The sequence below is a fragment of the Homo sapiens genome, chromosome 4 (assembly GCF_000001405.40).
Source record: "Homo sapiens chromosome 4, GRCh38.p14 Primary Assembly".
Classification (NCBI taxonomy): Eukaryota; Metazoa; Chordata; class Mammalia; order Primates; family Hominidae; genus Homo; species Homo sapiens.
The window spans coordinates 97,210,830-97,225,656 of NC_000004.12; the positions used below are offsets into that span (position 1 = coordinate 97,210,830).

At 38.6% G+C, this 14,827-nt stretch overlaps 1 long non-coding RNA gene across 1 annotated transcript; it reads right to left on the reverse strand.

Annotated features, from left to right (window-relative positions):
• Nucleotides 1-9,107: 9,107 nt before the first annotated feature.
• Nucleotides 9,108-14,536, reverse strand: LOC124900737 (uncharacterized). The gene is made up of 2 exons (XR_007058195.1): nt 14,272-14,536; nt 9,108-9,381 (listed from the first exon to the last, which is right to left on the reverse strand). It is a non-coding gene; the product is annotated as an uncharacterized LOC124900737 (long non-coding RNA).
• Nucleotides 14,537-14,827: the final 291 nt, after the last annotated feature.

The following is a 14,827-nucleotide window of genomic DNA, read 5'->3' on the forward strand; positions in this document are numbered from 1 at the left end:
CTCTTGCCTTAAAACTTAGAAAGATCACCAAGGAGACCTGTTGTCATCACTATGAAGTACACATAATAGAACTCTGTCATTTACCTCAACCTAAGTTCTTACTAGTACTCTATTCACCCAAGTGGTATGTGTGCATCTCAATTTTAATTTTATGTCTTAATTCACAGCCTCACTTTAGATTCAGACTCCACTAAGGTTTTCAGGAAAGAAGGTGGGGGTGGTGAATCTCAAATTTTCAATATTTTTATTAGTGAGAAACTGAACGGATAACTGGTTTTCTGCAAAGCATGTTTTCTCGAGGGAATGCACTCACTCTGGTTTATCAACTGGCAAACAAGACACCTACGGTTATCTCTTTACCACCCTATTGCCCCATCAATAATGTACAGACTGTCATTAAGAAGTCATTTCTCCCTTCTGGGCTGAATTTTGAGATGTGCATCATGTGGGAAAAAATAGGAGTCACATTATGGAGACTATAGGTCACTCTGTAATCTCAGATACATGCTGTGCTATTCTGCTGACAGTCCGTCAAGATATGTTCCAAAGCATGCACCAGTGCATATAAAAATATATAGGCTGGGACCCCCAAACTCATTTCATTAGGACATTTCAAGGTTAACATTATAATCATGCTTCAGGGCATAAACTTATCGCCAGCTGAGTTCAGGAAGACATTTCACTTCTGTGGAAAGACTGTTCCCAGTGGGTCAGTTGCATTGTAGGTATGTATTACCTTTTGCAAATATTTCTTTAGCCACGCCAAAGTGTGTTCCTTGTCTTTTTCTTGATCTTACAGATTTAAGCTCAAATAACCAAACAATACTGCTTTATACTTGTAAATAATTCTAATCTGAGACTTTCTTTTCTCTCTTCTTTTTGTCTTGTGGTTTTCTTGATTTTCACTTAGTAATTTACCAACAAATTTACATGGGCATTATATATATAGCAGATCTTCAAATAATGTCACTTTGTTCAATGTCCTTTTATTGTAATGTTGATGAGAAAAAAGAAATCAATTCCCAGCCAGGGCCATTGACCCTGTGGAGTCTGCACATTCTCCCCATGTCTGCATAGGTTTTCTCTGGGTTGGGTGAATGGACATGTCTACATGGTCCCAGTCCAAGTGAGTGAGTATGGGTGTGTGTGTATGTGTGTGTGTGTGCACCCTGCAAGAGGATGGCATCCTGTCAAGGGTCAGTTTCCACCTGGTGTCCTGAGATGCTGGGATAGGCACTGTCCATCTACTACCTTGAACTTAAATAATCATCTTACTTGTTTTTATTAATCTTTCTTAAATGTACATACAGGTTACAATTATTTCTATGTTCAGTGTTAGTAGTGTTTTGGTCTTTATTTAGTTTGGTGATGTTTTTGTAACCATAAATATGCCATAGGAACTTAATTCTTTTTTTTTTTTTTTTTTTTGAGACGGAGTCTCGCTCTGTCGCCCAGGCTGGAGTGCAGTGGCGGGATCTCGGCTCACTGCAAGCTCCGCCTCCCGGGTTCACGCCATTCTCCTGCCTCAGCCTCCCAAGTAGCTGGGACTACAGGCGCCCGCCACTACGCCCGGCTAATTTTTTGTATTTTTAGTAGAGACGGGGTTTCACCGTTTTAGCCGGGATGGTCTCGATCTCCTGACCTCGTGATCCGCCCGCCTCGGCCTCCCAAAGTGCTGGGATTACAGGCGTGAGCCACCGCGCCCGGCCAGGAACTTAATTCTTGTTTATGCCAATTAGCCTGTGGTAAAACTGGTTTCCTTTTCTGCTGTTTCACTTAAAGTCACAGTTTCCAAGAACCTATGGACAATGCTAAGTGAAGACTTACTGTATTAGGATTTGCTATTATCATCTAATAAAAGATTATTTATTTGAATAAGGACACTAGAGGTACTGTCAGCAGTAGTATTGGGACTAAACAGTTTCTGTTATTCAGAATTATGCCTGCTGTTTGGCACCAAATGCTCGATATTGTATCATATTGTATCAATGTTGTTTGTCTGTTTGTTTGTTGTTTATTTATTGAGACAGGGTCTTGCTCTGTCACCCAGGCTGGGGTGCAGTGGCACAATCAGTTTGCAGTTTGCAGTGCACAATCAGTTTGCTGCAGTCTAGAACTCCTGAGTTCAAGTGATTCTCCTGCCTCAGTCTCCCAAGTAGCTGGGACTACAGGTGCATGCCACCATGCTTGGCTCATTTTTGCATTTCTTGTAGAGACAAGATCTTCTTATGTTACTAAGATGGTCTCAAACTCCTGGGCTCAAGTGATCCTCTTGCCTCTGACTCCCAAAGTGCTGGGAATACAGACATGGACCACTGTGCCCAGCCAATGTAGTAGATTTCTGATTATTCTGTATGCTCACCTGTTCAACAGCATAAAAGACACAGCAATGATCCTTGTCACCAGCTCCTGCTGGTGAAACCTTGCTCACAGTGCCAGCAAAGAAGTCCCCCTTGGAGTCACATCCTGCAAATATTCAACTCCCATATATTACAGAAGTATTAAGGTAGAGAGGTGAAGAAACAGTTTCAAACTCCATAAACAGAAGACAGAAGGAATATGAACCTTATTAACATGTCATACTATCACACTTTTAATAAGATTTTTCTGGAATTTCTTGCTTGTCACTTCCTTCTTTTGATAGGTTGTCTCTTTCATCTCAATTTAGGACTTGGAAAGTATTAGATAAATTCAGAGAAGGTGTGGACCATTCTCCAGCAATGATTTCAGATTTTCCAGCAATACCATCACTGAGAAGGAGCAACTCTTACATTTTCTTTTTAACCATACAAGAGTATCATTTACATCCCCAAAAGCTGCCCTTGTGTTTTGACCAACCTGAAAAATCATGTCAAACAGCATGGTTAATGACTTATCAGCAGAACTTATCTGCTGAGGCAGTAAAGCACTGACCCAAACTGCCTGGGTTCAATTCCCAGCTCTACCACTTAATTAGGCAATTACTTAACATGTCTTTGCTTCAATTCCCAGCTCTACCTGCTGCCATATTTGGGGATGACCCAGAGGGTCAGGGTGAGAATCACCTGAGTTAATTCAGAAAAGTGCCTGGCAGATAGTAGATATCCAATAAGTATTTATTGAACAAACAAATGTAAAATATATAGGTGTATTCTTGGCCCATAGTTACTATTCAGTGATTTTGTTATTGTTAAAAACATTGCTTTCCATCAGAAATATTGACCTCACTTATAGATAGAACGAAGCAAGTGCTGCCACTCTTGTTAACAAACCCTGTTTTGGGCAGTGACTTTGATGTGCATATCAGGAATCATAGAATTCCAGAATGGGAAGGCACCTTTAAGGCGAGAATGTCAAATTGCCTAAATTAATGTACTTAAAATCAATTGGCATAATGATCAATTTGCCTAATTACACATTCATCTAAAATGTTCATTTATCAAATATACAACTTTTCATCTGTGCTCAAGTAGTGTTAGCTTAGAGGCATTTTTATCATTTTTCACAGGGATCATTTTGTCTACTTTTGAGGGTTTCCAAGGTATTTCACCCACTTAAGATTAAGTGTTTAAAGTGTTATAAAAATACATTTAAGAAAAACACAAAAAACCATATCTCAAAAATGCTTAGAGTGGCATCTTATCATATATAAAATGCTACATGTATGACAGATTTTTATTAGGAATCTGATTATCAGGTTAATGTGTGTTTCAGGGGACAGGACATTAGGAGAATTGATTTTAGGTGAACTGACCTTAAATCTTCTTAAGGGTTAGGATGTGAAAGCAGCAGCATCAGTTTGTACTGGTGTCATTCTGCTGACTTTTCTATGTGACTAAGTTCATCTCTGTCACTATCTGCTGCCAGAGCTATTGTGACTGCTTTCAACTTTAGATCCATGATGAATTTCCAGATTTGAAACTTGCTTGCCCTCCTTGGTTGACTTTAGGACAAAGTAGCAAGAGATCTGTGTTTTGTACAGACTCCATGAGGCCACAGAAACTCATTTGTCCTATAAACAATGGTACACATGATTTAATATAACAGCTTCTTTCCATTTTACCTAACTTTCCATAATGCATATTTTAAACCTCTCATCTCCTCTGATAAAAAGTATTTTTATCATCAGTTGTCCTTCGGAAATAGAAAAGATAATGAAGAGACAGAAGGGCAGGGAATTTGCCTATGGAAAAAAACTATGGGAGAATCGTCAAAAGGTATAGGAACCCCTACAATTTCTAGGCAAAGGAATCCTAAGATACATAAATGTGGACTCACAGAAGCTCTTCTAAAACAGTGGCCAACACACAAAACTTTCTTTTATTTTTTGAGATCAGTTTTATTACCATTGATTCTAGTTCTTATGTGGAAGAGCAAATTCTCTGCTATTACTACTTTGCAAGATTCTTCTCTAATTTTACAACTACTGAAATGGTAAGGAATTTTTGTTTAAATACGAATGTTTAAATTTTCCTAAAGGTACAGAACTTGCTAGTTCTCAGGGTTTGTTTAAAGTTCTGTCTGTCTCTGTAATGATGTGACTGTGTCTGTCACATCATGTTGTAACTAGTAGTGTGGAAACTGACATCTGCCTACCAGTAATGGTGGTCATACCTCACTGCTACTCCAACTGCTCACAGTCCGGTTTAGCCTGCCACCCTGAGCTCCAGCCAGCTGTCAGGACTGTCACAGCTGCCATCTTATTTACTGCCATAAGCTTTCTTGGCATTGCGGACCCAGACACTGCTGAGTTGGCGCCTGTCATTGGCTGTAAAAGGCACAGGGACGAAAGACTCTGAGAAACCCTGGGAAGGTGCAACATGTTCAAACCACCTGACAGTGGAACCAGTCAGTGCTGAAGTCTCTGAGGTTGTTCTTTGTTGACTGATAAGATTGGACAAGGCACAGTAGGCCCTCCAGAACTCCTATTCAGAGTTGTTTTAATTGAATGTGTCACTGACAAGGGACAATCACTTGGGCTGTGGCATCTATTCCAAATGAAACAATTGTTTTAAAGTAATTGGTCTGACAAGAAGGCTGGCAGACATTGAGGATGAGATGCATGCATTTCTATGAGATGAGACAGGCATTTCTACGAGGAGAGACAGAAAACATGTTCCCTGTAATTGCTACGGCTAAGCTTTTAAACTTTTCCCTTTGCTTCTCATGAAACAAGTCTTTTAAACGCCTCTGACTGAGTAAACACAGCAGTTCTAGAGCACTGCTTTGCTTTTTCTGTCTTTTACATACGTAAGAGGTTATTTTTCAACTTGTTTAAATTATCTAGCCACAACAATTTGCAATAAATTTAATAGGAAAAAAGTGAAAAGGGTTAGTTTGTCTCTGAACTTCTTTGCCATCTCACTATTAGCAACTCCTGATACAAGGACTGCGATTATGCATTGTAAGACAGAAGGTCAATTACATGAGCTAGTTAGCACATATTGAGCAAAATTTCCCCACTGTGTAAGTGGCATGTTGGGAGAGTGACTGAGTCTGCAAGAGCCAAAAGCATCTACGCAAGTGGTACTTAGCCATATAACACACATACACAACAATAGGATATACGGCACATTAGAAAAAGAGAATACATGATACATTCTAACCCACAATCATTTTATATACTCTATACAATATCATCCCCCCATTATAATGATAAAATCATCATTTTAATAATATTTACAAACTACCTATATTACTCATTTGATCCTCACAATATATAAGGTAGGAATTATCCTTATATATTTACAATATAAATATATCCTTATATATTTACAAACTACCTATATTACTCATTTGATCCTCACAATATATAAGGTAGGAATTATCCTTACACATTTTATATATAGGAGGAATGAAGCCCACCTACATGACTATGTAGATGGGCTTCATCATACACATGAACAGAAAAGCAATGTTGTGACTTTAAGTTATCATTTTTTCCATACATCACAATGACTAGCTTCATCTTTGACCCTCTTCTATTTTTGCCATATTGAATGTGCTCTTCCTATGAATCATATCTAATTGCAAAGTTTTAACTAAAATATGTAAAAAGGAGGAGAGGGAATTTAATATCTTTCCTCTAATATTTTCATCTGTGAACCAGAGTTTCCACTATGAGTTACTAGGTACACACAGTGAAGTAACTGCAGTGGTTAAACATACATGTTCTACAGGGATGTCACACAGGTTTGAAACTCAGCTCTTGATATCTAATAGCTGTATAAACTTAGAAAAGTTACTTATCTCTGGTTTTGTTTCTTCAGCTATAAAAAGAGGATTCATTAATATATTCATTCATACATACCTTCATTCAGCAAGCATTACATACCCATAAAATTCAGGACACTGCTGCCCTCAGCCCTACGTATATAACAGGAAACAAGCCAAAAATAATACTGAGTTACATTACCAAGGAAGACCATCAGTTAATGAAGAAATAATAGATAGACTGGGTAGCAAGACTTGTAATGAAGGAGGAAGTTGATTGGAGGATAGTGATGGTAGAGTAGGGAGAATAGTGCTATTTTAGTTCGAATGGTTAAAAAAAAGGTATATTTTCAGAGATGACATTTGAACATTTGAAACTGTGGGAGGAAATCGTGTGAAGATAATTCCAGGCCGAAGGAAAAACAAGTACAAGATCCCTGAAGCAGGAATATGCCTGTGCATGCTCAAGGAGGAGCAAAGACATGTACTGAGAGGAGGATAAGAGAAGTCGAGGAAACTGTAGGCAATAAATTAGCAAAGTAACCAGTTGTCAATTCAGGTAGGGCAGTGGTGGTCTTCGTAAAAACTTCCAATTCGGGTCTAAGTGTGATGGAATCAATTGGCATCTTTGACGTATGGCAAACATCACTCTAACTATTGTAGGAAGAGTAAGTTGCAGGAAAACAACGCAAGAATGGGGAAACAAGTCAGAAGGCAGTTTCCAATAATCCTAAACAGAGATGGTAGTAACTTGGATAAGGGCTGCTGTCATGAAAGTAGTAAGGAGTAATCATGTCCTTTGCTGATGAATTGGATGTAGAGTGGGAGAGAAAGATTAAAGGTGATGGCATTTGACCCAAGCTATTGGGCAAAAGGTGGACCCAATTACTAAGCTAGGAGATATTAGAGATGAACAAGCTTTATGAGAATTAAAAGCACCTACCTAGTAGGTTTAGTGTGAAAATGAAAGCATTCAGTACGGAGCCTGATCTATAGCAATTCTTCAGTAAACCTTAAGTATTGTTATGATTATTATCATCATCATCATTATAATTAAGTCCTGTAAATTTTATTTCCTAAATAGGTCTCAGATGCATGATTTCCTCTCCATGATCATTGTTGTACCTTGGTTCAAGCCCTCAGTATCTTTTACTTGGATTCTTGCAATGGCCACCTGAGTTTCCTGCCTCTAGACTAGACTATATTTAATCTATTTTCTTTGCTGTGGGCAGAATTATCTTTCTAACATGTAAACCTGATCATGTTTCTTCCTAGCTTAAACACTTCAGTGGCTCTCCATAGCCTATAGAATAAAGCTGTGACTACTTAATGATCTGGTTGCTGACCATCAACACTACCCTCCTGTTTTCTTCAAGTTTCAATAATATCAAAATGCCTGTGGTTCCTCTAACATTGTAAATATTGCATGCCTCCCTGCCTTTATGTATGTTATTTACCTTTCCTGGAATACCCTTTTAGTCTCAATGACCTTGTAAAATTTAAGTCTTCAGTTTAAATCCTAATTAGCAATTACCTTTTGCATTGAAGCATTTTATTAAGTCTCTCAGAGAGAGTGGCATCCCCACATTGTTCCACTTCTTGTACTTAATCCTTGCACTATAAATAGTACATTTCTTTCTTTACATAGAGAGAAGTTAACATGTATGTTTGTCTCTTCAACACAATTATAAAATCCTTGAAGGCAAGGCTATGTCTTCTTCATCTTTGAATGACTGTGTGTGCACAGTTAGTGGCACATATATGTCCCTCATGAGTTTTGTGACCTAACATGAATGGTTTGTCAGTCATCTATGACATCTAGAGCAGTGAAGAAGAACAAGAGATTTAGAGTAGTTCTTCTTCACTACTCTAGATGTCAGAGATGACTGAGACATTAGTGCACCTTCTGTATCATAGCATATCACATCACATAGTTTTCATTATATCATTGCTGCTTAAGATGGTTTTAGTGTGTATTAGTCCATTTTCACACTGCTGCAAAGAATTATCTGAGACTGGGAAATTTATAAATGAAAGAGGTTTAATTGACTCTGCTTTCATGCTTAACAGGAAGCTTGACTGAGAGACCTCAGGAAACTTACAATCATGGTGTAAGGCAGAGGGGAGCACATATATCTTCACATGGTGACAGGAGACAGTGTGTGAAGCAGGAAGTGCTACACACTTTCAAACGACCAGATCTGGTGAGAACTTACTCACTATCACAAGAATGGCAAGGGAGAAGTCTGCCCCCATTATTCAATCACCTCCCATCAGGTCCCTCACCCAACACAGGGGGATTTTGATTAGAGATGAGATTTGGGTGGGGACACAGAGCCAAACCATATTACAGTGCCTTGACCAAACTTCTTTAGTTTATTATGAATTTTCCAATGATGCAATGTCTATTGACACAAGTGAGTTATGCCAAATTTGAAAATATAGGCTGGGCACAGTGTCTCATGCCTGTAGTCCTTGTACTTTGGGAGGCCAAGGCAGGAAGATTGCTTGAGTTCAGGAGTTTGAGACCAACCTGAGCAACGTGATGAAACCCTGTCTCTACAAAAAAACAAAATAAAATAAAAATTAGCCGGGCATGGCTGTGTGCACCTGTAGTCCTAGCTACTTGGGAGTCTGAGAGGGGAGGATCACTTGATTCCAGGAAGCTGAGGCTACAGCGAGCTGAGATCATGCCACTGCAGTCCAGCCTGGGCAACAGGGTAAGACCCTGTCTCAAAAGATCTTCAAAAATGAAATAAAAGTGACTGTGGAAATAAGACTTTCCTTTGCCTGGAATAACTACTGAATTCCATCAAATCTTTTGATACCCTGTGTATTTGTTATCAAAACACCAGGGGTTTGGTCTAGGTCCTGTGGCTTGCCACACAGAAAACCAATCACTGAGACAATGAGTATTTCCAGGAAAGCAGGCTTTATTCAGGTGCTTCAGTGAGGAGATGGGAAATCAGTTTCAAATCCATCTCCTCAACCAATTAAAATTAGGAGTTTATATAGCAGGGAAGAAATGTAACTATGTGTGGGAAAACACAGATTAGAGAGGGGTAAGGAAGAGGACTTGGTCAACAGGAAACAAGTGGTCGGTTAGGCAATCATGACAGGTAAGGTGTCTGGTGTCTCATTGTCCAGATGTGGTGATCTGGTAAGTCTCATTTCTTTGATTGTTGGCCTCTGAGAAAGGAATTCAGATAAGACAAATGTAACTTTCTCATGTTTTAAGACTGGTAAGGTCAATTTCTATGTTTTTTCAAAATAAAGCATAAACATCAGTTCTACAGGACAATTGTGCCAGTTTCATAATTTATCCTTTTCTCATATTACTACCCTAAACTATTAATAGCAAACTAGCCTCCTTGTGTATATTTTTGTAGAATTTATGACATGGAGCTTTCATATTTTGACAATTTTGAATATTCTTTCCTGTTTTCTGAGACTGTGAAATCTTTACCACTTGCTCTGGTTTGAATTAATATCTTCCTTACCTGAGGTTATAACATTACCTATAAAATTTGTTTTGGTTTCTAAATATACAAGATCTCATATTATTTTAGTACTATTTCATTTGTGCATTTGCTATTTTGCTAAGAGTTTAATATCCTCATTTGAAAATACTGTCTCATATCTCTTCTGCATCTCTCAAAGCCATGACACAATTAGACCTTAGTATAGGTGTTCAATAATGACATACTGAAGTGAAAAGAAGAAGATGTAACATGATGATCAAACCCATAATTATAATCACTTCAAGCTTACATTGATGGACTCTTGCTTGATCACAGGTAGAATATCTTTTTGAGGACCTCAGAGCAAAGGGTAATAAACACCTACTTTTCTTTCATCTATAACCATATCAGGAAAATGAATTAAATTAACTCAACTTTTGATAATTCTTTTTAGAGTTAGAAAAAAGAGTTTACAGTTGCAAAATAAAAGCAAATTTCATTTTACCTTTAATATTTTAAGGATAACCCAGAGGTGATGTCTTACAGGTAATGCAGGAATGAGGAAACAATATTCTCAAATCTTTCTATTTCGTTTTACAAGGAAAATAGGCCCTATGTGAAAATAGTTGGCTAATTTTTTTAAGTCCTACAAGAACCAACATCTTGAGGGCCAAAACAAATGGACCTGAAACCTAGAGAGCCACCTCTGTTCTCCAGAAACTATCAGAGAACTTAATAATTAAGTTCACCAGGGTTTAGGGCTTTCTGGGCCCCAGTAATAATGATGTTATCAAGGTAGATTCAGTGTTTTATTTAACTGCATTCCATTCTTGATTTTCAGTCCTGAAACAAGAAGTTTTGAGTAAGCTATTTTAAAGTATTTTCTCCAGTTAACACATAATAAAAAGTGAAATAAGAAAACATACTATTATAGTACACAGACTAAGGACTGTTTCCATTACTCATATGAAATCTAGTGTACAGATTCCTCATTAGACAATTTCACACTGGCCAGACAGACCCTCTGTCTATTACTTTTTTGTCAAAGTAACTTTACAGATGAAAGGCCAGAACAAAGGGCATTTGGAACGAATTAAAAACTGTCGCAGCTTTTCTAAGCAACCTGGGAAGATGTATAGCAAATTTTATACCCCTTCATGTTATTTTTTTTCCCAGGATAACCATTGGCAAGTGGTCAGCCTGTCAGAACAGAGTCCAATTAAAATTATATATCATTGCAAGTTTTCTCTTCTCTGATGTCAATAATAGAGATCCTTCAGAGATAGCCCTCTCATATTCACTCCTGGGAATTTTAATTTCCTGACAAATCTATCATCTATAATTTACCATCAGGAATAGTCAGTCTCTGAGCATTGATAAAATAGCACAAATCCTGGTACTTCCCTTAGCACTGTGACAAAGAGACAATCTTTACAGATCTCACTGTGATGCTATATTCGTATAATCTTAATGTTTGTGTATCTGAATACTGTAGGATTAAAATTCATTCATAGGTTCAATAAACTTATAAAGGAATATATAAATATATGATATCTTAGAAAAATATTTCCAAGTTTTCAGGATCTCCATGGCCTCTCAAATTCTCATTATGTCATTATAAATCTTTTATACATACTTTGACTATATAAACAAAAGATTTTTTTATTCACTCACACAGAAAACTCATACTTACATTTTCCTTGAGAGTACACCAAGAATGAGTAGACATATTTTGAAGAGGAAAAATTTCTAACGGAAGTCAAAGCCACACATTGTAACCATTAGCAATTTGCTGATTTTGAAATGAGTATGTATTCATTTAAGTATAATATAGTATGTTTCCTTGGAATGTACAGAAAAACGTGGGATTCGAGGGAAGCAAGAGTTTTGTACATTTGAGTTATTAACAGCTTATTTGACTAATCAAAATGGAGGCTAGCAAATTAATCTAATTTATTTGCAGAGACTAAACTGCATTAATAATAGAAATACTGTCAAAACATTGTGGGCAGCTATTTAGTTTGTTTTTCAATAGTTATAAGCTTCTTTATAAGAGATTGCTAAGTGGGATTGCTTAAATGTAAGAACTGCTAAGACTTCAGCAACACAGAGCAATGTGCATACTGGGTGTTCTGAGCTGATTTTTTCCACTTTAAAATGCCTATGTTGATGCTCTAATACCCAGCACCTCAGAATGTGACTGTATTTGGAGATAGGGATTTTAAGGAGTTAAGTTAAAATGAAGCCATTAGGATAGGCCCTAATCCAAATTGATGAGTGTCTTTTTAAGAAGAGGAGATGAAGTCACAAGAAGAGACACCAGGGAAGCACACAAACAGAAGAAATACCATGTGAGGACACAGTTAAAAAAAAGGGCAGCCATCTGCAAGCCAAGGAGAGAGGCCACAGAAGAAACAAAACCTGCAGACACCTTGACTTTGGGCTTCCAGCCTCCAGAACTGTGAGGAAATAAATGTTTGTCATTTAAGCCATCCAGCCTGTGGTATTTTGTTATGGAAGCCGTACCAAATTAACATCCTAGAAAGCTGAAGACCCATTAGAAATCAGTGCAATGGGGCTGGGTGCCGTGGCTCACGCCTGTAATCCCAGCACTTTGAGAGGCCGAGGCGGATGGATTGCTTGAGGTCAGGAGTTTGAGACCAACCTGGCCAGCATGGCAAAGCCCCGTCTCTACTAAAAATACAAAAATTAGCCAGGCGTGGTGGCAGGCACCTGTAATCCCAGCTACTTGGGAGTCTGAGGCAGGAGAATCACTTGAATAAGGGAGGTGGAGATTGCAGTGAGCTGAGATCACATTACTGCACTCCATCCTGGCCTACAGAGTGAGACTCCATCAAAGAAAGAAGAAAGAAAGAAAGAAAGAAAGAAAGAAAGAAAGAAAGAAAGAAAGAAAGAAAGAAAGAAAGAAGGAAGGAAGGAAGGAAGGAAGGAAGGAAGGAAGGAAGGAAGGAAGGAAGGAAGGAAAGAAAGAAAGAAAAAAGGGAGGGGAGGGGAGGGGAGGGGAGGGAAGGGAAGGGAAGGGAAGGGAAGGGAAGGGAGGTAATGGCATCCCAAATGGAACTGAGGAAGTAATATTTCTTGAAGAAGTTCCCCTCACACCATACAAATAACCGGGAAGAAAGAGCACAAGAGAACAAGTTTGTATTTAAAGCCCTGTGCCAAGGAGCATAAGCATAGGCAGTGTTACAGACCAGGCATTCCAGTCTGCATTCTGAGACATAGCAATAAAGGAAGGTTATGCAGTAAATCAGTTCTGAAATAAGGCGGAGTAGTATTGTGTCAGGCAATTTGTCCGTACAGAGAAGGACCTTCTGACATGAGCCTGAGGTAAGCCAAAAAAGAGTTAAGTGTAGGGTAGGAGAGTTGGCAGGAATTAGTCAAGCGGCAGGCCTCTTAGTACTGGTTGAGATTCAGAGCAGGGCCACCATCCTTGATTACCAGGTAGAGTAGAATGGGAAACAGGCGCACAGTCAGTGTCATGTGAGGATGGAAATGCTAAAACCAGAAGCAGAATGAACCTCGTCTGCCAACTATTTTTCATTCTCATGGCTAGTACACCAGATTTTTTATCTAGATTGCCACAGATGAGACATGGGGATATTGGAGAATTGGTGCAGGGGTGAGGTGGGTTCAAGTGGGTGTATACATTTATGAAATAATCCATTAATCACGGTTTAGTCCATAGATTCTAGGTCTGGGGGTACTTAATATAGTTAATCATTTATTCATTCAGACACTAATTAAAATGTGAAAATGTAGGAGAAATCACAATAGCTGAAGCTTTTTTTCTGCCACAATTGATTCATTAATTGATGCTAGAAATGGGATGGCAGAGAGGGAGGCTATGCCTCAAGGTAATACTCAAACATAGCTATGGGAGAAGAGGCAGAGAAGTAAAGGTGTGTGTGATATTCATTTAGATAATCAACAAATCAATAAAATGTATTGCCCTTTTATGACTTACCTAGATTTACAAAGGATTCATTAGAAAATTCAAGAAAGCATAAAACATAATCTCAAATTTTAAGGGATAATTCTCTTATTTAGAAGAAAAACACATTTACATGAAAACAGAAACTATTTTCAGGTAAAGTGGAAAGGAGGGTTACAAATAACCTTGTAGATAGATGATCCAAGCATGGAAATTTCAATGTGAATTGATACTTTGTGCCTTCTAAGTGGGATATAGCTTGGATTGGCACAAAAGAAAAAGAAAGCATTGAAACCAGCCATCCTGAGCAAAGGTTGTGACTTGAGAGATTACTGTGGCTTATTTTTAACACAGGAAACAAATTAATCCTATCTGAGAGAGATTAGTTGAGAAGGAGAGAGAACTTGAGAGTGTTGAATTCCCCAGAAAGGAGACTCTGAGACAGAGATGGAGATTAGCACACAGAAAGTGCATTGGCATTGAGGAGTGTTCTCAGGATCAACATCTGTGGCAGGAAAGAGAAAGAAGCAGGATGGAGCAAAGGGAGACATGTTGGGCTCCATGCCTGTCTCAACAAAAGGCCTCAACTAATCGTAGAGGAAACTGAAGCTAGATGACCCTTCAGAGTTACAGAAAGGGAACTGCGTCTTATAGTCTTACACTTACCTGTCCATTGAATGTAGACTTCCCCAGGAAGGGAGTGTGATCTTGGATAAGCCAGTTCTCTCTAGCTGAGCCCAGTTTCCAGGAGGCCTGACAGCTGGAGGTAATCAGCTGGCACCTGGAAGACTAAGTCTTTGAGTCCTAAGGAGATGTAGACAATGCAGCATCCACTACGATTCATTCCTTCTACCTCTCAGATCCAATTCTTGGTATCAGTTCTTGGAGCAGATTCTCCAGGATTCTGGTGTGCCCATTTTCCTTAGGAAATCTTAGAAGAGGAAGATTAATGAGAAAAACTATAGCCCCACTGCTACAGCTGATTGTGGGATCACAACTGATACTCATGGTCTTCCTCCTATCCTATATTTTAGATTTTTCTATCCTCAGCTAGCACTTCAGCTGGTCTAGGTGGCTTACCAGGTGATGTGACCATGATACTGATTCCTATGGGAAGCAAGCCTGCCTTCTTAGGCCGTTTTATGCATTAGCCCACTTACGTCAATGGCAAGCAAGGGACTAGCAATGGGTAACAAAGTGAATCACCTGGTGCCAAACACTT